Genomic DNA, 26605 nt, shown 5'->3' on the forward strand with positions numbered 1-26605 from the left:
GGACTTTAGTCTTCAGAACTGTGAGAAAATAAATGCTTGTTGTTTAAGTCACCCAGCATGTGGAATTTTGCTATGGCAGCCCACGCAGACTAAGATGCTGAGACAATCTCTCCTTTGGACCACTGATTGAGGGGAGTCAACTTGGCTTCTCTGATCTAATAGTTTTGCTCAGTGGAAGGTGACACCAGGCCAAAGACACATTGACTCCATCCTTTACTTGTGTTTTCTTGTAAAATGTAGAGTCTGCCACGCCCTGGCTTTAAGTCTTTTGGGGTTTTCTCAGTGGCTGCATGATCACATTCTAATTCTTCAGAAAGTCATTCAAAAATCTTCACATTATGTGGCCAGGAATGGTGGCTCACACCTGTAATCCCAGCACTTTGGGAGGCTGAGGTGGGAGAATCTCTTGAGGCTGGGAGTTCAAGACTAGCCTGGCCAACATGACAAAACCCTGTCTCTACTAAAAATACAAAAATTAGCCAGTGTGGTGGTGCACGCCTGTAGTCCAAGCTATTTGGGAGGCTGAGGCATGAGAATCGCTTGAACCTGGGACACGGAGGTTGCAGTGAGCCAAGATCTTACCACTGCACTCCAGCCTGGGTGGCAGAGTAAGACTCTGTCTCAATTAAAAAAAAAAGGCTTTCACATTAAAGCCCCAAGCTCCTTCTCTTCCCACATCACTTTCCACTCTATGTCCTCTGTCTTCTAGTACATGGGCCCTGTATTAATCCGTTTTCATGCCGCTATGAAGAAATACACAAGACTAGGTAATTTATAAAGGAAAGAGGTTTAATTGACTCATAGTTCTGGAGAGGCCTCAAGAAACTTACAATCATTGTGGAAGGGGAAGCAAACTTGTCCTTCACTTGGCTGCAGGAAGGAGAGTCCTGAGCAAAAGGGGGAAAAGCTCCTTGCAAAACCTTCAGATCTCGTGAGAACTCACTCACTATCACAAGAACAGCATGAGGGTAACCGCCCCCATGATTTAATTACCTCCCACAAGGTCCCTCCCCCCAACACGTGGGGGTTACAATTCGGATTACAATTCAAGATGAGATTTGAATGGGGACACAGAGCCAGACCATATAAGGCCCTGTGTAGTTGGCAGAATAATGGTCCCCCAATATACCTGCCCTCTGATTCCTGACACCTGTGAATATGGCACATTACATGGCAAAAGGGACTTTGCAGGTAGAATTAAGGCTGCAGACCTTAAAATGGGGAGGTTAGCCTGGCTGATTCAGGTAGGTCCAATATACTCACATGCACTCTTAAAGATGAAAGAGGGAGGCAGACAAGCCATAGAGAATGGAAGAGGCGGGAGAGAGTCACAGTGCAAGAGGGACTTCCCGCGGGTGCTGGCTGTCAGGATGAGATGGGCCATGAACCAGGGAGGGCAGGCGGCCTCCAGAAGCTGAGGGCAGCCCCTGGCCAACAGCCAGCAAGGAAACAAGGACTTCATTCCTACAACCCCACACAGCTGAATTCTGCCAGCAGCCCCAGTGAGCCTGGACGTGGATCCTGCACCAGAGCTCAGCACTGATGACATCTTGATTTTGGCCTTGAGAGACGAAGCACAGAAGCCAGCAGAGCCCGTGAGATTTCTGACCTCCCCTAGGAAGTGTAAGATAATACGCTTGTATTGTTTTAAACTATGTTAGTCGCAGTTTATTCCAGCAGCCACAGGAAACATTGCCCCCGCACATGTCCTCATTTGCATGCTTTCTTGTGTGCTGCTGCTGCTGCTGGGAACACCTGTTCTTTAGCTCGCCATTACGTTAAAATCTCACCTGTCCTGGAAGGCCCAGCTTCCACGGCCATCCCTGAGCAGCACTTCCCTGCCCTTAATGACAGAGCAGAATGAATCACATTCTTCTCTGTGCTTAGAGAATTTTGCTTCTATCTCAACAAAGTGCATGCGGTGAGTGGTTAGCATCTACGCGATGGTCGCCTTTTGCTGCACTCTGACCCTTGTCCCTAGCCCAGTGCCTGATAGTCTGCTGTCAATCAGATATTTATTGGGAGGCTATGTTGGTGCCACACAGATGTGTCGTAGGGGCTAGGTATACGGGGTTGCCTAAATCAGACCCAGGGCCCTTCATTCTCTCATGGACCTTCTAGGCTACACATATTCAGTGCCTCATAAACATCTGCTAAGTTAATTGAACCGAGGCCTCCTAGAGACAAGGAAGCCACAGTCACCGGGAAGCAGGATTGGCCTGGTCTGTCAGGGCAGCCTCATATATATGCACACACGAGTCTTCCTCCCACAGCATGGACCATCTGCCATCTGCGGGAAGCTGTGGGGCACCAGGAATGCTCATCGCAGGGTTGTATTTGGTTCAGCCACGATTTGCCTGGGGCGTAAGAGAGTGCTGCTTTCCCTTTTCTCCTCAAACTTCCTTTTTATAAGGTGACTGCAATGATATTTACACACATCGTTTCCAAAAGGCTTTTTTCACATTCGCCATGACATTTAACCTTATGATAAACCTAGGGTGCACACGCAAGTAAAGCGAAGAAAACATGCGATTGATTACAATTGTATAGCTGTTTTATTTAGTCTTTCCTGCTGAAAAGTCCCTAGTTTCAGGGCTAATGGGCTGGCCTTGTTCTTCAATGTAGCCATTTACAAGAAACAGCTGAAGCTAAGTTTTGCTTATGTTTGGAAATCAAGCAAGATCTACATCTCTTATGAGGCCTAACTGGCTTTGTCTGTGTTTGCTCAGTAGTGTACCCAACCACTTCTGGCTTGAAGCTGTTTGGACTGGGGTTTTAACAAATAAAATCTCAACTTTTATGGTGCCTCAGTTTACCATTTAACAGAGGCCTCAGAAGAAATCCACCCTGCTGACCCCTCGATTGCAGACTTCTAGCCTCCAGAACTGTGGGCAGATAAATGCCTGTTAGTGAAGCTGCCCAGTCTGTGGGTCTTATAGCAGCCCAAGCAAATGAATCCACTTACCTGTGGCCTTATTTAAGTTCCCTTCCATCCCTGGCCTCTCTGCCCCCAGTGTCTACTTTAATCTCTGTGACCAAGTCCCCATCTCCACGGTGCAAGTTGGGGGCCAGGCGGGCTCAGCTGGGCCTTGAGCTGGCATAGGGTAGCCCCAATGCTGAAGATTCACCAGTGATAAACACAGACACAGAGAGACATATGTGGGGCTGAGCTGGAAGCTGGATGGGAGAGTCAGGGGCTCAACGCCAGAGAAGAGGCAGGAAGGGTTTCCTGTGCAGCAGGGGTTGAGGGATGGATAGAAGCCTCAGCATGTGGACAACAGACATGAATTAGAAGCTCCTGGAGCCTACAGGGAAAGAAGCTGAGGTTTCCAGCTGCTTGTTCCAGTGGTTACCTCTGTGTGCAGTGGACCTTGCTGGCCAGAGGTGAGGCAGCTGGGCTGGGAAACCTGGGAGGAGACTCCCCCAGCTGCGGTGACATCTTTCTTCATGCTCTTCAGAGTCATGATTCACACACTTCTCCCCCTTCTTCTTCTGGGAGGCTTCTACAGTCTGGGACTGCTTCTTCTTAAGGACCTCCTGGATGCACCCTTTGTTTGTATCCCAGTGTCCAGCACTGTGCCAGACACAGTAACTTCCCTGTAGATGCAGGTTGAACCAAGGGATCAATTAGGAAATCAGTTTGCATCTGCCACTTGCCTTTCAGTTTTACGACTTTTATCTGCAAGGCACAATCGGTTTGGTGGAATGACTGGCCAAGATGGCAAAGCCAGGAGGAATTTGCAGCAGGGATTTTTACCCTCATTTTGGATTTAGTGCGGTCAGGTAACCCGTGAGTGAGTCTGGAGGATGGCTGATAAAAATATTCTTGGTTCCAAAGTTTTCAAGAGCTCTGGAGGCAGGTCAGGCATGAAAACTGTGAAATGATGGCTTGTCCTGTAGAACTCTACAAGGAAGAATTGGCTGAGTAAATTATTGAATAGCAACTTTTTCTTTCATTTCCTTTTTTTTTTTTAACCAGTGGGAAGCTGAACATCTCAGGACAGGTATTATTATCACTAAAAAAATAGACGTCATAAAATTTATAGTGCTTCATTTAGAGATTGGAAGATCTAGGCGTTAAGCCATTTTCTAATGCTGTAAAATAAGATTAATGATGTGTCTTTTTTAATGATCCCTTTTTTAAGATTAAAATCTTTGATGTGGAAAATGTTCATTGCTGTTGCTATTTCGAGGCCTGGATGAATTACCTTACCTTCTGTGTCTGTGACAGATCCCTGTGTCCACTGCAAAGTTCTACCTTCCCATTTATTGGGTTTCCTAGGTTTTCTAAATTTACTGATTTAACTCTAGTGGTTCAATTTATTCCAGAAATTTATTCACTAACTGCATGGCACTGCGCTTTCTTACACAAGGGAGTTCTTTGATGGCTGACAGTGGAATTATTGTCAACCATCAATAGGAATACATGAACGTGTCCTGTTTATAGTTCTGTAGGTAGAACTTGGGTAATATGAGGGATCCTGACTTGTTTGCACGAGGCTCCCAATGAGGTTGTATTGTTGAAATTTTAATTGTAATTTAGTGGATAAGCAAGAAATAATAGTTCAGAGGATCGTTTCCTAAAGTCCTTTCATTGTGACCAGGGATTAAAGTAAGTGGCAAAGTAAACAAAAATGCCACCCTCCAAATACGGAGCAACCCTCCCCACCCCAAACTACCCCCACCCTGGCTCCTGGAGCTTTATTGTGGCTGGAGGCTGCTGTCCCTGGCAGTGCTGCAGCCATAGATACTGCCTGTTCATGGGACAGACCTGTCTTGTGTCTCAGCACACAGCCTAATGTGCTACTCCTTCTGCAAATATCACTCTAGTTTCAACATAGCTCTTCTGTATTTTAACCCGAATGGCTGATGCTGGTTGTATTCAGCGATGGGAGAGAGCACCTAGAGAAAAAAAAAAAGAGCTGCTGCTTCTTCCTCTTTTCTCCCTCCTCAGCCAGCATGATGCAGAAGGTCAGCTCCTAGAGGAGGAGCAAGCAGGCCAGGACGGCTTCAGCACCCACTCTTGTGCGACTTAACACTTACATGGTAACACCATGTGAAGTTCGCGGACGTAAAAACAAACGATATCGGGTCCTCTCCCCCAGATGCGATGAGCAGCATGCAGACCAAAGGACAGCGGTCCCCACAGTGCAGCGTGCTGTGTGCTCCTGCAGAAGGAGGGACAGACATGCCTGAGGATGAAGCCACTAACTGGGAGTGGGGAAGAGAGAGAACAGTGGCTGAACAGGAGTTTCCTAGGGACCTGCAGAAGGGAAGAGTGGGCAGGACAGAAATAAATAATGCCAGAGTTCTGTGTCACAAACGGTGGACTGTCAGCACGGCTGGTGGGAGGGGCCGTGCAGCACCCAGTCAGCAGCAAGGCTGGGCGGGCAGCTCAGGGCCAGACTATGAGTGGGCTTTCTAGTGTGTGTGGCTCTGGCCAGGCACAGTCATGGTTTTCAAGCAAGGATTTGATTTAAATAGATCAGATTCTTCTAACGTGGAGCTCAGGAGGGAGACCAGGCATGGGGTGGCTGCAAAGCACCTGCCAGAAATGGTGAGGCCTGGGCTGGGGTGGAAGGGGGAGCTGGACCCAAAAGACACGCTTAGGGAGAAGTGACTGAGATTTGTGAGGGAGTGAGATCGGAGACCTGCAGCTTCTGACGGGAGTGTCGAGTGGACAGTGACACCGTGCACCCAGAAAGGCAGTGATAGAAGGTCCAGCGGGTTGGTGGGGAAGGTGGTGGAAAGGCCCTTGAGGCATCTGCCTGCCTTCTCTGCTTTTCACCCCTTGCCCTGCCCTTGTCAGTCTTGTGAGCCTTGGTGAGCACTGGGGAACTTCACCGGGAGGGGCAGAGCCATGGCCCCAGCTTGGAGGGGGTGCACAGGAGGAGTGTAGCCTGGAGAAGCCTGCCCGCGCCTCCTTCTGTGGGTGCCAGCAGTGGCTTGGGCTGGTGTTCCCCTGCTTGTGCATTCTATTAGCCTGTGCCAGTCCACGGGCCAGTGGCTGGGTCTCATCCGAGCAAGGAAATTTGGAGCTTCCCGCTTTCCTCTTGCTTTTCTTTAGACAAGGCATATGGTGAACGCAGTCCTTCCCCAGCTGCTTCTGGCGGGTGTGGCAAAGCACAAAGTGCGGAGATCTCCTGGTTCAGGGAGAGAGGGATCTGGTGCCTGAAAAACGTGACGTGAACACTTGGCTTTTCTTAAAACACTCCTCATTGCTTTCCTAGCATAGCAGTTATTTTCCGTCCTCTGGGCATTGGTGACAGTGTGGCCGCTCCACAGATGTCAAAAACTCAAGTTAATGCAAAGACTTTCACTTCTCAGGCTCCAAAGGCCTCAACAAGCTTCCCCTCATCTGTGTTCATGGACTTAAACTTCATGTTGTCAAATGAGTATTAGGTAATGGCAGAAATAACGCATGTATCACACATTTATGGATTTATTTCCCTTGCATTTATTTTACTTTAGAACACCATGACCCAAAGCAGAGCTCTTGAAACTCTAGTCCTACAACACAATCTTTGAAAAATGGGTTTCATTTTCAGATGCTTGGGAAATATTGCATTCCCTATGCTCCTCTTGCACATCAATTGTCAGCTCACAATAAAGGCTCTGAGAAGGCCTGCATTATAAAACTGTGCAGACAGGGTCTCCCCAAGTTGTCACACGTGAGATCCCGGACTCTGTTTAGTGGTTTTTGGTTTTTTTCTAAATGCATTTTGAACAGCCAGGGTACAGACTTCCGTGAAGACCACCCTAGAATGCACAAACCACACAAGCCTTTCTAAGTCATGTTGTTGAGTCTGTAAAAGAGGAGGAAATTTGGGAAATGGGCGGCAGGCTTTTCCTGGCCCTCAAGAGAAGAGCTCCCTCCTTTTTGCATCGATCTCCCTTTTCCATATTTACTTTGCCTCTAATTAATTTTTCTTATTGCTCTTCACCCTATTTCTTGGTGTTTTGCCTGAGATGAAAGTAGGATAATTAGTTCCTTATCTCTGTTTTAAAGGAATTTCATCTGGCTTCCAGCTCAGGGGCTAATTATGGCTTTATGGATTTCCTTCTTTGAAATACATCTATGCTAAATACTGCCAGCTTCTCATTCACTTCAGGCTAAAGTGGGAAGCTCTGTAGGCCTAATTCTCTCCCTTCCCTGTAGATTCATACTGTTAATGATAAAAAGGGGGAGAGGAGGCTGGGTGTGGTGGCTCATGCCTGTAATCCCAGTACTTTGGGAGGCCAAGGTGGGCAGATCACTTGAGGCCAGGAGTTCAAGACCAGCCTGGTCAATGCGGCAAAACCCCATCTCTACAGAAAAGAGGCAAAAATTAGCCAGGTGTGGTGGCACACACCAGTAATCCCAGCTACTCGGGGGGCTGAGGTGGGAGGATTGCTTGAGCCCTGGAGGTGGAGGCTGTAGTCTGCTGAGATTGTGCCACTGCACTCCAGCTTGGGTGATGGAGTGAGACTCTGTCTCAAAACGAAAACCAAAACAAAACCCAACGAAGTCCTAAGTCAGCCCAAAAAGTGGGGGAGAAATTAGGTGCACTAACAAGGAATATGCGCATGTTATAACTTCAGGCTATTTCTGTTTGTCAGGAGATTGCTTTACCAGGGCCAATTATTTGGTTCCTCTGTGGCTCAGTTTTCTCATCTGTAAAATGGGAGAATAACAGCATCTACCTCACAAAATTGTAGTGAGAAAGAAATGTCAAACATTTAGAATAATGATTGGCACAGAACTTTAATAATAATAACAACAATAATAATACATAATGTTACTTCTAAAAAGATACTTAAATGAGTCTTTCGAAATTGACACCTAAGTCTTTTGCCCAGGCTTTACTCAATAAAACCAATCATGATAAATCCTGGAAAATAGGGCCTTAACATCACAGTGTTGTTTTATTTTTTAATTAATTAATTAATTAATTAATTTTTGAGATGGAGTCTCACTCTTTCGCCCAGGCCGGACTGCAGTGGTGCCATCTCAGCTCACTGCAAGCTCCGCCTCCCAGGTTCACGCCATTCTCCTGCCTCAGCCTCCCCAGTAGCTGGGACTACAGGCGCCCGCCACCGCGCCCGGCTAATTTTTTGTATTTTTAGTAGAGACGGGGTTTCACCGTGTTAGCCAAGAAGGTCTCGATCTCCTTACTTCGTGATCCACCCGCCTCGGCCTCCCAAAGTGCTGGGATTATAGGCGTGAGCCGCTGTGCCTGGCCAACATCACATGTTATTAATTCACCAAGCATTGCTAGCACTTTTGACTTTATTTTGGAGATCCGAAAATGCTTCTGGGCTGGACACTCAAATAGCAGAGTGAGCGACAGGTCCTGGGGGGAATTTGGAGGTCTGATTCTGCTTCCCAGTCCGCCACTTCCTAGTGATGAGCTCCTGGGTCACTACCGAATGACCAGTGCTAACGTGCACTGAGGGCTTACTAGGTGCTGACCAAAGTTCAAAGCACCTTTCCTGCATCTCCATTGTGGACATGGGACAGTGAGGTGACAAGAGGTGCTCAGTCACCAACGAACCTCAATTTCATCTGTGAAATAATAACACCTCCCACTCATCCCACCCAGTGGGATTATCACAAGCTTGAATGACATTGTCTAGAAAGTACTTTGAAAGCTGCAGCATTCTGGTGGATGAAGGTAGGAGGTCCTCAGATTTTCACTTAAAAGCTTCTGGTTGACGCGTGATTTCTCCCCTTTGCAGGAAGCTGACAAGAAGCACGTTGCTGAGTGATCCTGGGTTCCCATCCTCCGCACCCGTGCATCCACGCGTGGGCCCAGCCAGCAAGGAGAAGTCTAACAGGCAGGAGGAGGGGAGACACAAGGAGCCCCCGCAGTAAGTCACAAGAAGCTGCCTGCACTCTGACTTTCTTTGGCTTTCTCAGCATTTTGTACAGGGTTCCCTTGACTGATGTGGGGGTTAGAACTGGAAGGAAAGGTCCCTCTCCTCCCATCTGGAGGTGTTGAAGCAGCACTGGGCAGAGCCCAAGGTGGTACCTCTGGGGCTATGGCAGGACAGGGGTGTTCAGTGGGCTGGAAGCCCCCGTCCCCAACAAAACATCTCTGACCTGGCTGAAGACATTGGAGGTCCATACACGTTTCATTTGAAAAAGGAGTTTCTAACTCTTAAAAAGACAGAAAATCACCAATGAAGTCCAACCCTTAGTGAGAATCAACTGACCTTTCCTCTGCACTCCATCACATTTTAATTTTTTTTTTAATTTTACTTTTTTTGGAGACAGGGTCTCGCTCAGTTGTCCAGGCTGGAGGGCAGTGGCATGATCACAGCTGATTGCAGCCTTGATCTCCTGGGCTCAAATGATCTCATCTCAGCCTCCCGAGTACCTGGGACCACAGGTGTGTGCCACCAAATAGGTGTGCAGCTAATTTTATTATTTTTATTTTTTCATAGATACGAGGTCTTGTTGTGTTGTTCAGGCTGGTCTCGAACTCCTGAGCTCAAGGAATCTTCCCACCTTGGCCTCTGAAAGCACTAGGATTGCAGGCACAAGACATCATTACATTTTATGGAGGTTCTGTTTGCTTCTGCACCTTGGTCTAATCCTATGATCAGTTATCACCAAGTTGGTCTCTCTTATGCCACTGTATGTTCCTGAAGGAGAAATAGTTTATTTTTCCTTGTGCCCCACCTCAAAGGATGATCAACATATTAAGCCAACACTCCAGAATGTATAGGCTTCCAATCAATGCGCTGTCTTGCAAATGGTCCCAGAACTACCCTCTCTTCAATATACCTCTTTTGACAGAGCTCAGCGTACAGGAAAATCTCCTCAAATGCAGAAATTTGAGTGTGAATTTAATTTTCAGTGCATCAAAAAATCATTTAGCACTAGGAAGATAGCCTCTCTGACAGGAACGGTGTGTACCTCTAAAGAATGGGTTCCTTGAGAGGGTAGGAAATGATTCTGAAGGCTTCCAAACACGAAAAGCTGCCATGCTGGTTGAAAAAAAATCAGTTATGTTATTTCAGAATTCTACTTTCTGCTTCCTTCCCAATCATACAAGCTACACGACGTTTAACTCTGTGTACTAGGCAGTTCTGCAAAGGAACAGGCAGTCCTTGGGTCTGGGTTGAAGACAAGAGCTTAAGTCCAGTCTCTCCAAGCACTGGTTAGCTGCATGCAACATGGCACGTTCACGGATGCTGCATTCTGAAGTCAGGATCACTAGCAACAGATACAAAGAGACCCTGGGTGTGATGGCTCATGCCTGTAATCCCAGCACTTTGGGAGGGATCACCCAAGTCCAGGAGTTTGAGACCAACTTGGACAACACAGAAAGACCCCTGTCTATACAAAAAAATTAAATTAAAAAAGACCACGCTGGGCAACATAGTGAGACTCTGTTTCTACAAAGGAGATCCCCCCCGTCCGTTTTTTTTTTTTGAGACACAGTCTCTGTCACCCAGGCTGGAATGCAGTGGCATGATCTTGGCTCACTGCAACCTCCGCCTCCCAGATTCAAGTGATTCTCCTGCCTCAGCCTCCTAGGTAGCTGGGATTACAGGCATGCACCACCACACCCGGCTAGTTTTTATATTTGTAGTAGAGACGGAATTTCACCATGTTGGTCAGGCTGGTCTTAAACTCCTGGCCTCAAGTGATCCACCTGCCTCAGCCTCCCAAAGTGCTGGGATTACAGGGGCTAGCCACTGCCCCTGGCCTTTTTTTTTTTTTAAGGGTCTGTGTCTCAGTATGTTGCCCGGGCTGCTCTGGAACTCTTGGTCTCAAGCGATTCTCCTGCCTCAGCCTCCCAAGTAGCTAGGATTACAGGTGCACACCACCTAGCCTAGTTTATCCCAAATTTTTAAATAGAAATTTTTATTCCCTTCTCTGGAAGAAATATGAAAAGGACCAAAGCAAAGTGGTTTTCACTTGTTTGTTTGCATTTTGGAAGTGAGATTGCCTTATAGATCCTCTTTCCCAATATTACTATAAATTAAACTGACTTTAAAGTGACCAACTTTCCTACCAAGCTTACCGCACTATCTAAAGGCCTTGTGTTCTAAAAGCAAAAGATCAAATCGTATGTTTTAAAGAGGAATGGTGCCATTGTTATTATGTGGATGCTCACTATGTGTAGGTTCTGTGTTGAGTTTTACTCAGTCACTCATTTAAACAATTTATTTGTTAATGCATCACTTTGTTTATTCACTTAACACCTGTCTTGAGTGCCTGCTATATCTCAGGAACTGTGATAGACATTGGTGGAAATAGAAGTCAGTGAGATACATGAAGGAGGCTAGTAGTAAAGACAGAAATTAAGACAAACAAACACAAAAATGCCTGAGAATTCGCCAGGCCCTGTGGCTCATACCTGTAATCCCAGCACTTTGGGAGGCCGAGGTGGGTGGATCATTTGAGGTCAGGAGTTCGAGACCAGCCTGGCCAACATGATAAAAACCCCAACTCTACTAAAAATACAAAAATTGGCCGGGCATGGTGGCAGGTGCCTGTAATCCCAGCTACTCCGGAGGCTGAGGCAGGAGAATCGCTTGAAACTGGGAGACAGAGGTTGCAGTGAGCCCAGATCGCACCACTGCACTCCAGCCTGGGTGACACAGCGAGACTCAGTCTCAAACAAACAAAAAAAAAAGCCTGAGAATTGTTATGTTACCAAAAAGAAAGCACAGAGTGCCACAGGAGTCCTCCAGCATTTGGCTGCACCATCTTTCTATAAGCTTTACAACAACGCTGTTATCATGCCCACTGTGTAGATGGGGAAACTGAGGGGTGGAGCTTACTTACGGAGTAAGAGTTTGCAAAGCCAAGTTGACCAAACTCTACATGTTCTTACCACTCCATCTCCTTCCTGGCTTGGAACTTCCATGCTGAAGGTTCCAGATGGACCTTTATTTTAGAGACCTTAGAACTGGCTTAGGTTTACATGCTCCAGAGCTCACTAGAAATGTCAGGGAAGGCACAGCCATGGGGAAGGGGGTGCACTGTGCCAAGAATTTTGCTTAAGAAGCCAGCTCAACAGTGAAAGGTGATGATCATTTTCAAGTGTTCTTGGTTTTTCATGTGTCATAAAATTGCACTATTCAGGAATAATCCCAAAATCAAATTAAAAACTTCTATGAAAATATGAAATGGAAAGCTTACTGATGCATGCTTATAAACTGGTTACTGTACTTTCTCTGTGGCCTCAGGGCTGGAGGGCTGTGTTTTTTCAGAGGTGACCAGGGACCATCCAAACACAGCCTCCTTCCGCACTTCTCTTAACCAGCGTAGACTCTTCTGGTCCCATTCAGAGAGTGAATTCCTTCATTATCTGGGAAGGCGTGGTCCCACCTACTTATAGCAATGAGGGGCCACCTTCATCCTAACCCATAGGGTGCAACTGGCCACAGCCTTGCCTATCCGTATAATGCACAATTGTCATGTTATAACCACGTGGGCCACCCTGGCTTGGGCCATGTTTCCTCAGCCCCCTGGGAGGGGTGGTGGTCATAATCATGTTCTGCAATCCCAATGAAGGCTCCCCCCCAGTTGGGGAAAAGTCAGCCTGTTTGTTGGGGCAAGAATAGCCCACATGGGCAGGATATCCCCTCAATGAGGCAGTGGTGCGGCTCCCAGGGGCCCCAGGACAGTAGCCACACTGCCGGCACACACCTCAGACTCCAGGCAGCAGCTGCTACCTCCAGGGTTCAGCTCCCAGTTCCCCGGCCCACTCTGTTCTCTCACCCTTCACTTTGCTCCAAGAGAAAGCTTTGTTTCATGCTTCAGAAAACTGCTGTGGGCCTGGAAAGCCTTCCAGGCAGAGGCATTCTAATTAGTATTGTGACTTCTCTGGGAAAATCATTTTCCAGGCCTCAAAGAACCTCTGATGATTCTCTAACTTTTCATGAGGGTCCCTGGGACATCTCAGCCATGAAGCTTGTTCCACTTAGGTTTTTGAATCAGAAATGCAGGAATTTTCCGCTGGTAGTGGCTGGAGCTTCCTTGAGATGAGTGAAGAGCAAGTGAACTCTCCCGCCTCCCACCATCACCAGCCTGGATCAGGAGGGGAGAAGGAACTTGCTTGCACATTTTGCAACCAAACCCCATGGTAGAAAAGGGCCCTCGTAGTGGGTCTTAAGATAGATGAAAGGAAAAAAAAAAAAGAGTCCTCGCTTGCTCCATTTCCCCAGCCACTGCCCATGGATGCCACCGGTTGATCCCTCCACTTACCTATTTAAGTATTGCTCCAGCATTCCCTGTGTGCCAGGCGGAGGTCTCTGCTGGGGTGCAGTGGTGCACCCTGAAGTCCCGTTCTGGCAGGGGAGACAGAGCATGGACAAATGAGCAGGTGGACCCCGAAATGTCAGGTAGCAATGCTGAGCCAGAAGGATCAACAGCAGGGGACTGAGGTGTGTGTGGGGGGTGTGTGTGCTAAACAGGGCATCAGGGAAGGGGAAGTAGTCTCTGAGCAGAGATCTGGTGAAGTCCAGGAGAGACCCATGAATATCCGTGAGAGGCTTGGTCCAGGCAGAGGGCAGGGAAGGAGCAGGTCCTGAAATGACGTGGGCCTGGCCTGTGGAAGGAGCACCTGAAGGCTGGCATGGAGGGAGGGACTGGCCGCAGGGAAATTTGACCAGCGGCTCCTTCGTGTGGCGCAGGACTGGCAGCAGGGGACTTTGACCGGCAGCTCCATCATGGGGCACAATCTTCTAATCTCTGATAAGCGGCCCTTTTCCGTGGAGCTGTCATGGATAAATGTTTTCTGTAGCTATTTGTGGAGCACTGGGTCCCGTTCCTTTCTACGAGAGCGGCCGTTCCCAATTGGGTGTGACTTTGCTCCCTATGGGATATTTGGCAAGTTTGGAGACGTTGTCACAACTTGTGTGTGTGTGCAGGGGTGCGCATCCAGTGGATAGAGGCCAAGGGTCCTGTTAAGCATACCACAGTGCACAGGACAGTCTCACAACAAGGAATTATCCAACCCACAATTTCAAGTGTGCTGAGGTTAAGAACCCTGAAACCAAACAGGAGTGTCAGCGAGCACAGGGAAGGTTGCACGTTTTGACTGACAGTCACTGGTACCAGGCTCTGGAGGGCCTTGTGGGGTGATGGAAGGTATATGGGGAAGAGGTGCTCGGCCTCTGCAAATCCTTCTCCCATGGGAGAGAAGTTTGCATGGCTCACAGGTGAGACCCATCCCCACAGTGACCGGGACAGAGCAGACCACTGCCTGGGCCACTGCCTCGGCCTCTCGTACAGTTTAGCAAAGACCAATTTCAGAGCCTGAGACCATGAGCTCTGGCCTAGGATGGATGGATGGATGCTTTCACTTTCTTGACAGGTATCTCCAAGACCCAAGGCCATGGCTAGCCCATCTCACAGTGGTGCTCACTGGGCTAAGCAATTTGCGCACATTGACTTATGATCTGCCCTCTGCTACAGCCTATTTTCTACATGGTAGTGCTAAGCAGTGAGCAGGTACGTTCCTGGTGCAGGGTGTTTGCCTTTGCTGTGATCTCATCTGCCTGGAATGCTCCCTCCTCATTTCTGCCCTTTCACCATGGGGGGTCTCAGCTGGAACACTGTCCCCATGCAGAGGCCCTTAGCCCTCCAATTCGTTTCCCTTATCCTTGTTTTTATACCACTTACTAGCCTAATTGAAAACAAGCTGCTCAAATGAAGAAGTCATTGTAGTATAATTAAATTACTCTGGTCTTGGAAACAAAAAATGGAGGACCCTCCTCCCAAGGACAATTTCAGGGAAGAAGCTTCCAGCTCCACCACCAGCACCCAAAGCTGAAATTCTACCTGAACGATTCCCTGATTTTTATACTTGGAGCGCAATAAGTGTATTTTAACTGTTTACATTTAACATATAAATGTAATTTATATGTCGGTATTGACATGTATCCAGGCTTGGCTTCTGTGGCCCCTGCTGAGACTGGCCCCCTGCCCCTCAGAGCAGAGCTCTAAGTCTCAGTCTCCCAGGGCCCTTTCTCTGGGTCCTGCACCCTCCTCCCCCACCACCTTTATTAAAAAAACACCTGCCCCATGTCATAGCCCCTCAGGTGCCGGCTCAATTGAGGTGTCCGTAGCTGGACAGAGGTCTGATGTGCTTCTTGGTGCAGGACGTGCTGGGTGGGAAAGGAGGAAAGGGTGGGAAGGGAGTGGGGGGAACAGCAACCGGGGACTGGGAGGGAGAGGGCAGGGGGCACCCCGGAAGGCAGGCAGGCTCACCTCCTGTCCCCTCTGGGCTGGTACCCACCCCACTTGATGCTGCCTGAGGCGGCATCCTGTCTGGCCCTGCTCAGCTGTGAGTGTGCCAGGCCCGTATGGTTACCCCAGGAAACGGGAGCTGCACAAAGCCACGTGCAGAATCGCGTGGGAGTTTAATAATCCCGGCTGGTGATTGCTGCCCCACGGCTGCGTTCCTCTCCATCAGACCCCTCATAGGCTTCCCTCCAACCCGACGCTCAAGCTTCCGAGGCCTGTCCGTTCTCTGAAGCGATTCTACACCTTTTAGGCTCTGGACTCCATGTTCCTAATTTGTTTTTGGAGCGGGGGGTCTCTCCTCACTTCCCTATTAGCTCACGTCATCTTTGTGCAAGAAGGATCACATGTCAGCCGTGGGGAAGAAAGGGCTGGCACTGCTCTGAAGCTGCTGAAGTTATGACATTAAGGAAAATAAGCCAGCTTCATTGGGCTTGGGGTAGGCGCCTGAGCATTGGGACTTTTAAGAGTTTCCCAAGAGATTTTACTGCAGCCAGGGTTGAAGATCACTGAATTGAATGATATGTTCTCAATCCCTTAAAAAATGTATATTTGTCTACATAAATATATATCTATTTTTCCTGCCAGAGAAAGGTGGGGTCCCACTGGCTTCAGCTCCTGCGACCCCTCCCCCACCCCCGCACTATGGCTGTGGTACATCAGTATTCATTTACCTGGGGGCCGCCTGTGGCTGTGTGACCCAGGACAGGCCCTCTGACTTCTCTGTGCCGGAGTCGTCTCATCCGTGAAATGGGAATCGTCAAGGCATCTACTTCACTGGGTCGTCACTGCGCAGTCCCATAGCGCCCCACGCCTTGCATGACTTTGGCTCATTCCTCATAATCAGGCCTTTTGCTTAGCATCTCTTTTTAAAAACATCTGGTTGTGGTGGTGGTCGGGGGCGGTGTTCTTTCCGGGGGCATCTGGGGTTTGAGAAGCGAAGGACCCCACAGCCTTCCCTCTCCTGTGAGTGTTTTCAAAGTTAACTTTGGGACGGTTCTCCCGGAGGGCCAGACAGAAACTCAAAGAACCGGCCTCAGGGGATCTGAGCAAATTCCACCGTCGTCAATTCCTGGTGCTCCGTGAAAGATGCTCTTTCCCTCGGGGCTTCGGAGCCGGAGCATTTGTAGACAGTTCCTGCCTCTTCACTCGGCTGCCGGCCTGGGGGTCCCGTCGCCTCCCGGAGCCGCCCGCCGCGTCCCCCAGCCCGCGCCGCCCTGCGCGGCCCGCCGGCCTCCTCACCTATCAGATTTCCTGTGCGCATCGCCGCGCGCTCCTCCCACCTCCTAAATGCGGAGCGGAGCGGGGAGCAAAACCATCCTCGGCCTGGACCCAGCGCCTCCGGGGACCGGCCGCGCGCCCCCTGCGTCCGCGGGCCGGGATGCGGCTCTGAGCCAGCGGCGGCTTCCAGCCCGACTGGGCCTGCCGGGGCTGCCCCGCGCACGGTAAGGCCCGGGGCTGGGGCGCGGGGCGCGGGGAGCGCTGGCCGGGAGCGGGGGGCCGGGTCCTGCGGCGCGCGGGGGCGTGGGTGCCGGGCGCAGGGGACCGCGGCGCGGCCGCGCACTGCAGGCGTGCTCTTCTGTTTTCTCCTTCGTTCCTTTTAAATGAAGGGAAAGAAAATTGTTACAGACCAAATGTCATCAAACTTGGTGTGAAAACATACTCATTTATAAAGTCTTATCGCTACTCACGCCACGCCCCGAGGAAGTTGTGTTCCTGGGTGGGCACGGTGCGGACACAAGACTTAGGGAATCAGCACTGGATGGAAACATCGCACAATTAAAAAGAATGGCCTAATCTTAAGCAACAACAACAAAACAAACTCTGAAGCACCCTGCGGCAGGCAGCTTCTGCATCGTGGGGGTTGTGGAAGGGGCTGATGGGCAGGATCATGAGAAAGACAGCTTTTCATTAAGAGATGACACCAGGGGTTTTGACTTTGGGAGGACCAGAAGGGAGTCTGTAGGTCATTGCTAAATACAGTGAGGTACCTTAAGACTCAGTAATGAACATTATTTTAAAAACAATATCTGTACCGTGTGTGTGTGTGTGAGTGCGTGTGTGTGTGCGCGCGTATGTGTGCGCATGTGCACGTGTGTTCTCACACACACCGCACCATAATTTTCCTTCGTGGTTTTGTTTCGTTTTTTGTTTAGGTTTCTGACTCTTGAGGGATAAATACAGCTTCCAAATAATAGCAACTGAATCTGCAGTAATCAGATGTTGGAAAATTATTTTTCACTGGTCCTTTATGTTAGCATAGCAAACTTAAGTCTTTGTTATATGTGGCCACCTATTGTAAATATTAACATTACTTCTCATCTCCACATCTTCCTCATTTACTATTTTTGTCTTTTTCAAAGAGATGGAGATGGAGGAGGAGTAGAATTTAATGAAGATACAGATCTGGGGAAGTGTCATGTTTCGTTGGGTGCTTGGGGTAGGCAGTGGCTGCTGTTGAGAGTATTTTACAGATGTAGGAAGTCTTCGGAGGGGCATTTCTAGGTAAATGCATGCTGATTCTGCCCATCTTTACATGTACCTTTTGTGGTGTTTCCTCTTTAAAACAGGTGCGTGTAATATGCAAATTTGGTTTCAAAGGGAGAATTTTATATCTTTTAAGGAATGATTGCATGTGTATTAAGTCTTGTTTCCTATCTCCTTTCATTTTTTCCTTCTCTTTTAAAGTCAGTTCGTCTTAAGTAGTTTCTTTGTTAGGTAAATTTAATAATAATAAAAATCTGACGTGTTCAGGAAGGAGCTCAGTGTGAGGCCCATGGACGTTACCTCCTGGAGATGCAAATCGGAAAGAGATGTTTCACTATGCTGTCACCTCAGAAGATTGACAAGGACAAGGTTGTCTTTGCAAAGGTTCTTCCAGACAAGGGCATCCCTTCTTTTGTAGGATTTCTAAGTAGGTACTTTGAATAAACAAGGGCCACCTTTAATAGTTGGTTTTATGAGATTCTGCATACCTCACCATGGCCAAACTTCTCCACACGGATGGTAACCTTCATCCATGCAGCAGAGGACACGAAGGTGTAGCCCTCCCTCCTCTGTCCCTGGACAGCTACAGATTCAGGCCAGTTCAGACGGGTCCAAGAAGAGTTTCAGGGTCTCCATCTTGTCCTTCCTGGGCATGGAACTGAGCCCAGTACTGGCATCCCAGGGGATGCCCCCCATGCATGCTTGTCCATTTAACTGGGCGTCTGATCAGATTTCTGCTTGGTTTTCTGCCAGGCCTAGAGCCTGATCCTGAATCCTGGTTACAGTGACTTTGAAAAGCTGCCTGGGCTTTATCAGCCTCTCTCCCCGGGTGACCGGGATACTGATGAGGATGGAGTCCCTCCTTGTACCTGACAGACGTCTGTCTCCCTGACTATAACAGCCTTGTTCCTGGGTCCCACCCAAGCTTCGTGGCCCTGCATAAACCCAGGTTTGCAGCCTGTGTTCATTGCTCTTCTGTCGACCTTTCTCCTCCTACTGCTTACTTTCCTCTGCTGCCCCTTCCTGCTCCCAGGTAAGTCCTTGGACTTGGTGAGGGCTCCCGTATTCCTTGTTAATTCCAGTTTCTTCTCTTTTGCCTTGGCCTGAGGATAGGGTTCCATCAAGCTTTGTGGCTGACCTCTTCCGAGTTTTGACAACACTTCTTTGCCCGTGGAAGGAGGGAGTTAACTGACCCTGTGTCTGAAGATGAAAGGTGAAGGGGTGGGTAAGATGATTTATAGAGATTTTGAGAACTAACATGGCCTTCAGTTGAAAACCAGAATTAGGAGCTCTGAGTATCGTGCAGGTGCAGTGAGATTCATTTGAAAAACAAAACAACCGGAATTTTTATATCTAATTTTGAACATCATCCCCACATCCTTAATAGAAGACATCGGAGCCAGAAGTCGTTTGGGACCAAGTTGGGTAAACAGAGTGGCTGATCATTCATTCACGCATTGAATAAATATTCTTGCAGAGATAAATAGCTCAGGCTCTGCAGCCAGATGACTGGTTGCAAATCCCAGCTTTGACAGGTACTTGTTATATGACCTTCGGCAAGTTACTTAATTTCCCTATGCCTCAGTTTCGTTAATTGAAATTGAAGAGAATAATAGTACTTATTTCATAGGGGTGGTTGTGAGGATTACGTGGTTCTGTATATAATAAAGAACAATAGAACAGTGCCAGGTATATACATGCTACTTAAGTTATAGCTATTGTTGTTATTATGACTTCTTGTTGTGTGCCAAGCACTTTACCATGCTGAGTAATAATTGTTTTGGATCAAGAATGAGGTATGGAAAGAAGGAAACAAAACTAGTTGTTTCTTATTGAATTTTAAAAAATAACATGATTTGAAAAGTAATTCCCAAAAAGTTGTGAGAAGAATATTGTGAGCAAGGGCAGAATTATTTTTATAAGATGACTAACATCAGGGGAACAATATTTAGTTTGTTATTTAAATTTTGGTCCCTGTCTTTTTTTTTGTTTAAGCTGTAGACACAGGCAGGAGCATTGCTTGAGTCCAGAAGTTTGAGACCAGCCTGGACAACATAGCAAGACCCCGTCTCTGAAAATGAAAGAGCTCTGATTTTTTATAATTATTGGAAACCATTCCTCAGTGTTCCTATTCACGTTTGCAATGCTCTCTCTCTTTTTCTTACTGTTTCTAATTTATTCATTTTTCCATAGAGGTGTTTTGGTGATCACTGTGCTTCCTAAACTCTGCAAGTTCCCTTTTTAATCTCGTTCCGTCTCCTTGTCATTGCTTGTGGCTCTGTTTTGTTGATTTCCTGTTCTTAGTTTCTTGTAGCAATAAATCATTTACTGTGAAAACTTTTAATCCACTGCTGGGAGTATATTTTCTTCCAGACTGTGGCTTCTTCACTTGTCTTTTGCACATTTCCTTTTGTTTCATTTCCTCCTTCCTTTCTGTGGTATTTATGCATATTTGCTCTGCCATTTCTTTATTTGTCAAGCATATTTAACAAGGGCAGGTTCAGCTGAACCTTTAGATAACAATTTTTTGAATTGTCCTCGATTGCTTCTCTCCTATGTGAACATCGTTTCCTTCCCAGAGCTTCCTTTGGTGTCCTGGAGATACAGTTTATCAGCTTTTCTGTGGCCTGAGGATATGAAGGAGCAGAAGCAGTGGGAATGATGGATAATCATGATTGGTGGATTTAGTCTCTATTCATTTTGATTAAATTTATTAAAATTTATAGTTTTATTAAAAGTTGCTCTCAGGATACACTCAGGTTTTGGATTGCCCCCAAATTCAGGATGTAACTTGGAGGCATTACATTTTTTATTTTTCAAATTTTGAAGTATTTCAAACATGCAGAAGTGAAATAATAATAGAAAAAGCATGTGTGAGTCCACATCCCAGCTCTATTGTGTCCTAACACTTGGCCATACTTGCTTAGATGTAGAAGACAATAGGAAAGCATTGTTGAAGCTCCCTCTGTCCCCTCCCTAGTTCTCCCCATCTCCTTTCATCCCTTCTCACTATCCTGAATTATTACTGTCTTTTCCATGTGTGTTTCCACATCACTTCTATGTATAAATCTGTGATTAATTATGGTATTGACTTCAATATTTCAAGCTCTCTAAAATGGTTTCGTATGGTCCTACTGAAGCTCTTTTTGATTCATTGTTTTCAATATTTATCCATGTTGAGACATAGCTTGTATTACTCCATTTTCACACTGCTATAAAGAACTTCCAGAGACTGGGTAATTTATAAAGGAAAGAGGTTTAATTGATTCACAGTTCTGCATGGCTGGGGAGGCCTCAGGAAACTTACAATCATGGCGGAAGGGGAGGCAGGCATGTCTTACATGGCCTGAGAGAGCAAGTGAGAGAACATGTGAGCGTGTGGGAAAAACTACCATTTATAAAACCATCAGATCTCATGAGAATTCTCTCACTATCAGGAGAACAACATGGGGGAACTGCCTTTTAATCCAATCACTTCCCTCCCTCGACACTTGAGGATTACAGCCGGAGATGAGATTTGGGTGGGGACACAGAGCTAAACCATATCACAGCTGTAGTTCAAGCTTGTCCAACCTGCAGCCCAGGACGGCTTTGAATGTGGCCCCAAACAAATTCATAAACTTTTTAAAAACTTTGAGATTTTTTTAAAAGCTCATCAGCTATCGTTAGTGTTAGCGTAGTTTATGTGTGGCCCAAGACAATTCTTCTTCTAATGTGGCCCAGGGAAGCCAGAAGATCGGATACCTCTGTGGGTGTAGTTCATTCATTTTCATTGCTATGTAAAATGGTAGGCTGAGGTGGGAGGATCTCTTGAGCCCAAGAGTTTGATACCAGCCTGGGCAACATAGCGAATCCTCATCTCTATGAAAAAAATAAATAAATAAAAAATAAAAAATTACCCCAAGCGTGGTGGCATGCACCTGTAGTCCTAGATACTTGGGAGGCTGAGATGGGAGGATTGCTTGGGTCCAGGAGTTTGGGGATGCAGTGAGCCATGATCAATCCAATGCACTCTAGCATGGGCAACAGAGCAAGACCTTGTCTCTTAAAAAAAATTATATTGTAGGATTGTACTACAATTGGCTCAGCTATTGTTTTGTTAATGGACGTTTAGATGATTTTCATTTTTCATATAAAAATGCTATAATAAACATTCTTATACATATCTCCTTTGCATACATGTTAGAGTGTACTTTAGAGTACATACCTAGAAAAGATGCATTGGGTGAAAAAGCATCTTTCCTAGATACTGAAGAATGTTTTCCAAGGGATTTGTACCAATTTATGCTCCTACATACTATACCTCTAACTCAGTTCCTGTTTTTCCACAGCTTCCCCAACCCTTAGAATTATTGGATTTTTAAATTTTTGTTATTGTCATGAGTATGAAGTAGAATCTCAGTGTTTTAAGATGCATTTTCCTGATTCTAGTAAAACTAATCATCTGTTTGTATATTATGTATCTCAGCCATTTGGATTTCCTCTTCTGTGAATGGCCTGTTCATGTATTTTGATCATTTTTCATTTGGAATGTCTTTTTCTTATAGATCTATAGAAGCTCATTTAGAAATTCTAGATCCTTAATTTTAGTAATATACATTGCAAATATCTACTCCGTCTGTGTCTTGTATTTTTACATTTTATTGAACAATAGGTTTTCATTTTTAATTTGGTGAAATTTACCACTTTTTTTTAATGGTTTGTGCTTTCTCTTAAGAAGAAGCTTTTCATCTTATGAAATTCTTCCCCACTCTAAGGCTATAAAGATTGTCTCATATACTGTATTTCTTGCTAAAAGCCTTCAAGTTTTGCTTTTCACATTTAGGTTTTTAATCCTCCTTGGATTTATTTTTGATATGTTGTGAGTTAGGGATTCAAATTCAATTTTTTCAAATGAATAGTCAGTCCTAGGTTGTTAATTCAGTACTCCTTTTTCTGGTGATTTGTAATACCATTTGTAATACCATACTTGTGTAGATCTGTTTTGAGGCTATTTATTCTATTTTATGGTCTGCTTGGGCTGCCATAATGAGATACCATAGACTGGATGGCTAAACAACATAAAATTATTTTCTCACGGTTCTGGAGGCTGGAAGTCTGAGATCAAAGGTGCCAGCCTGATCAGGTTCTGGTGAGGACCCTCTTCAGGGATGCAGATACATCCTAAAGATTCTGTCTGTGTCCTTACATGCAGAAAGAGATTCCTTTCTTCTTATGAGGCCACCAACCCTATTGAATTAGGATCCCACCCTATGACCTCATTTAACCTTAATTACTTCCTCAAAGCTTTGTCTCCAAATACAGTCACATTGGGGTTAGAGCTTTAACACATGAACTTTGGGTGGACACAATTCCGTCCATAGCATTGGTTTATAAATCACAAGTATCTTATTGATGTAATAAGTTTTTATATATACTAGATCAAGTTAGGTCAAGTTTTCCCATCTTGTTTTGCTTTATAATGTATTTAGCTATTTTTTGCCTTTTAGTCTATGTACGAATCTGAGGTTCAGTTGTCAAGTTCATTTCCAAAATTTGTAGGTTTATTTTTGAGATCTCTGTTCTGTTTTGTCATGATGTATTTTGTTTGTTTCTGCCCAAACACCACAAGTTTTAATTGCTGTGACTTTATAATATGTCTTGGTCTGGGAAGGTAAGTTACCACTTTGTTCTTTTCAGCCATTCTTTTTCTTTTCTTTCTTTCTTTTATTTTTTTTAGGCAGAGTCTTGCTCTGTCACCCAGGCTGGAGTGCAGTGGTGTGATTTCGTCTCACTGCAACCTCTGCCTCCCGGGTTCAAGCAATTCTCGTGCCTCAGCCTCCCAAGTAGCTGGGATTACAGGCGTGTGCCACCATGTGTGGCCAATTTTTATATTTTTTGGTAGAGACGGTATTTTTGGTAGAGACAGTATTCACTATGTTGGCCAGGCTGGTCTCGAACCCCTGGCCTCAAGTGATCCTCCTGCTTCAGCCTCCCAGAGTGCTGGGATTACAGGCGTGAGCCTGCCCGGCCATAATATTCCTAATCTTCAGACCTTGTTTGAATTTTTCCAATTTTCCTGTAATGTCCTTTTTCTGGTCCAGGATCCCAGCCAGAATCCCATATTGCATTGGGTTTTCATGTTGCTTTATTCATGTTCAATCTGTAATAGTTCCTCAGTCTTCTCTTTTGTAAACTTGACATCTCAGAAGAGTTCAGGGTAGTTATTTGTAGAGTATTCCTCAATTTGGAGTTGCCTGATATTTTCTTATATGCAGACTGAAGTTATGCATTTTTGGTAATAATACCACGGAAATTTGATAAATGTGATGCATTTTCTATTGGTTCTGATAGTTTACATGTAGAGTCTCTTGGATGTTTTATGTAGATAATTGTATTAGATATTTTGGTTATTTGTGTCTTTCTAGCACATGGGAGGATTTTGCTTCTCCCACCTCTTGAAGTTACGCAAAGCATGTGGCTTTCCCTGGCCAATGAAAAGGGAGCTAAAGGGATGTGTGCTGAGACATTGAATTGCAGGTGCATGATTTCCCAGCTGTCTTTGCTCTGCTTGTTTAAAGCAAATGTTGATATGAGCATACCATTAGATCAAAATAGCATATGATAATAAACCGACCTTTGTATGCTTGCCTTCAAGAGTAGCCTGAATTAGCAATTGATTTTGCTTATGAGAAGATAAACTTGCAGTGTTAAGACCCCGAGATTTTGGGGTTGTTTGTGGCATAACCTAGCCTATGTGGTCTGACATAATAATCATATTGTCTATAAACAAGAATAGCTTAGTTTCTTCTCTTTTATTTCTTATATACATCTTTTCTGGTCTTATTCCATTGGCTGGGACCTCAAGGGCAATGTTTAATAAAAGCAGTGACAGGTTAGGTACAATGGCTCATGCCTGTAGTCCCAACATTTTGGGAGACCAAAGCAGGAGGATTGCTTGAGGCCAGAAGTTCAAGACTAGCCTGGGCAACATAGTGAGACCCTTTCTCTGAGAAAAAAAAGTGATAATGGACATCCTTGTCTTCACCTTCACCTTAATGGGAATGCTTTTAAGTTTCACTATCAAATATGTCTATTTTAGATATTTGATGGACACCCTTTGTCAAATTAAGAAAGATCTCTTTTTTATTATGAATTGGTGCTGAATTTTATTGATTCTTTTTTGATGTAGCTTTTGAAATAATCATAGACTTTTTCTTCCTTTAATTTACTGGTATAATTTATTAGTGCATTTCTTGTGTTTTATTTAGGACCTTTCCATTTGTATTCAAAAGAGATATTGTTCATAATTTTCTTTTCTTTTACTATCCTTGTCTGAAGTTGTGTATTTTTTCTCTGTCTCTTGGAAATGGCTTGCACAAAAAGGTTTTTTTTTTTTGTTGTTCCTTTAAAATTTGGTAAAGCTCACCTCTAAATCTTTCTGGGTTGTTGCATCGTAGAGTGGAGGCAGTGGACTTCTGATGACAGATTCATTGTTTATTTAGGTTCTATTTCCTTTTGTTTATTCAGGTTCTATTCCTTTTCAATGAACTACATTAATTCATGATTTGCTGGAAAATTATTTCAAAGTTTTGAAATTTATTGGCATAAAATTGTTCATAGTATTTTCTTATGATTTAACATTTTAAAAATTTCTCTGTTGCAGACCTTTTTGACTTTAAATATGATTTATTTCTGTCTCTTTTTTTCTTGTTAAATCTTGGTAAAGTTTTATTTGCTTTATTAGTTTTTCTGAAAGAAACAGTTTTTGAGTATGTAGATAATTTCTTTGGTTGTTTTATTCTGTGTATCAATGACTTGATAGTTATATCCTCGTCTTTTTCTTTTTCTCACCTTTCAAATGTTTATTGCTCTTTTTTCGTAGCTTCTTGAAGTATATGCTTAATGTATTCTACATATTTATTCTTTTGACCTATAACTTTATTTCTAAATAATTTTTAATTGCTGTCCACAGGTTTTGATATGTTGGTCTTTCATTTTTATTTGGTTTAAAATATCTATTATGATTTCCTCTTTAAGCCATAAGTTTTTTTGAGGCCTACTTTTGAAAGTTTCAAAACACACATTTTTCTCCAGTATGTTTTTATTGTTGATTTTTAATCCCCATAAGTGGTATGTGTGCAATTGAAAAGAATGTTTACTTTCTGTTTCTGTATGGTTTAATAAATGAAGTTTATTAATTTTCATTGTCAAATCATTATTACTAATTTTTGTTCTATTTGGTTACACGTTTCTAAAAGAAATGTGTAAAAATAAAATTTATTCTTAGAATGCTATCAATTTTTTGTTATATGTTTTGATGCTGTGTTGTTGAAGCTTACAAGTTCTAAAGATCTATATTATACTATCTATATTATAATAATTTATGGTGAATTGCTATGTAGTGTTGATACTTTTGGCTTGAATTCTTTTTGCCTTACATAGCTGCATTAGGGGTTGGTTTCTTTTTCTTTTCTCCCCCTAACTAATAGCAAGTATCTTTCCTGCCTATCGTTGTAGCTTTACTTTGGGTGTGTCATTTGAACTCGCATATAGGTAGATTTTTTCCAACCTGCTTATTGTGTTTCTAAGCAAGTGAACTTAATCCATTTATAATATACATAATTTCTGAGGCCTTTGGATTTAATTCTTTTATCTCATTATGTGTTTTCTTTTTCATACCTTTTTTCTTTAGTTCTCTTTTCTTCATTTTTTCGTCTCCTGTTGGATTGATACAGTTTTCTACATTCCCATTTTACTTCTTTTGCTGGTTTTCAGACTGTAGACTGTATATATATTTTTAATGATTATATTTAATCTTGAATCATGTATTTTAACGATATATAAACATTTTTGGTATTCCTGGTATTTTCTCTATCATGACAAGGACCT

The 26605-nt window shown here is 44.9% G+C and overlaps 1 protein-coding gene and 1 long non-coding RNA gene across 4 annotated transcripts in view; one reads left to right on the plus strand and one right to left on the minus strand.

Annotated features, from left to right (window-relative positions):
* Positions 1–771: 771 nt before the first annotated feature.
* Positions 772–16447, minus strand: B3GALT5-AS1 (B3GALT5 antisense RNA 1). Of its 2 annotated transcripts, none has more exons than NR_026542.1 (3): positions 15922–16447; positions 13208–13290; positions 772–1614 (listed from the first exon to the last, which is right to left on the minus strand). It is a non-coding gene; the product is annotated as a B3GALT5 antisense RNA 1 (long non-coding RNA). The 2 variants fall into 2 exon arrangements; NR_026543.1 differs by lacking the exon at positions 772–1614 and adding an exon at positions 9224–9972.
* A 117-nt stretch (positions 16448–16564) lies between these two features.
* The window catches only part of B3GALT5 (beta-1,3-galactosyltransferase 5), a 60198-nt gene continuing 50157 nt past the window's right edge, over positions 16565–26605 (plus strand). For both annotated transcript variants that reach the window (NM_001356336.2, NM_001278650.2), the window contains exon 1: positions 16565–16692. The gene's annotated coding sequence lies outside the window, so the exon portion shown is untranslated. The remainder of the gene's footprint in view (positions 16693–26605) is intronic.

This window comes from Homo sapiens, chromosome 21, assembly GCF_000001405.40.
Source record: "Homo sapiens chromosome 21, GRCh38.p14 Primary Assembly".
In the NCBI taxonomy this organism is placed as follows: Eukaryota; Metazoa; Chordata; class Mammalia; order Primates; family Hominidae; genus Homo; species Homo sapiens.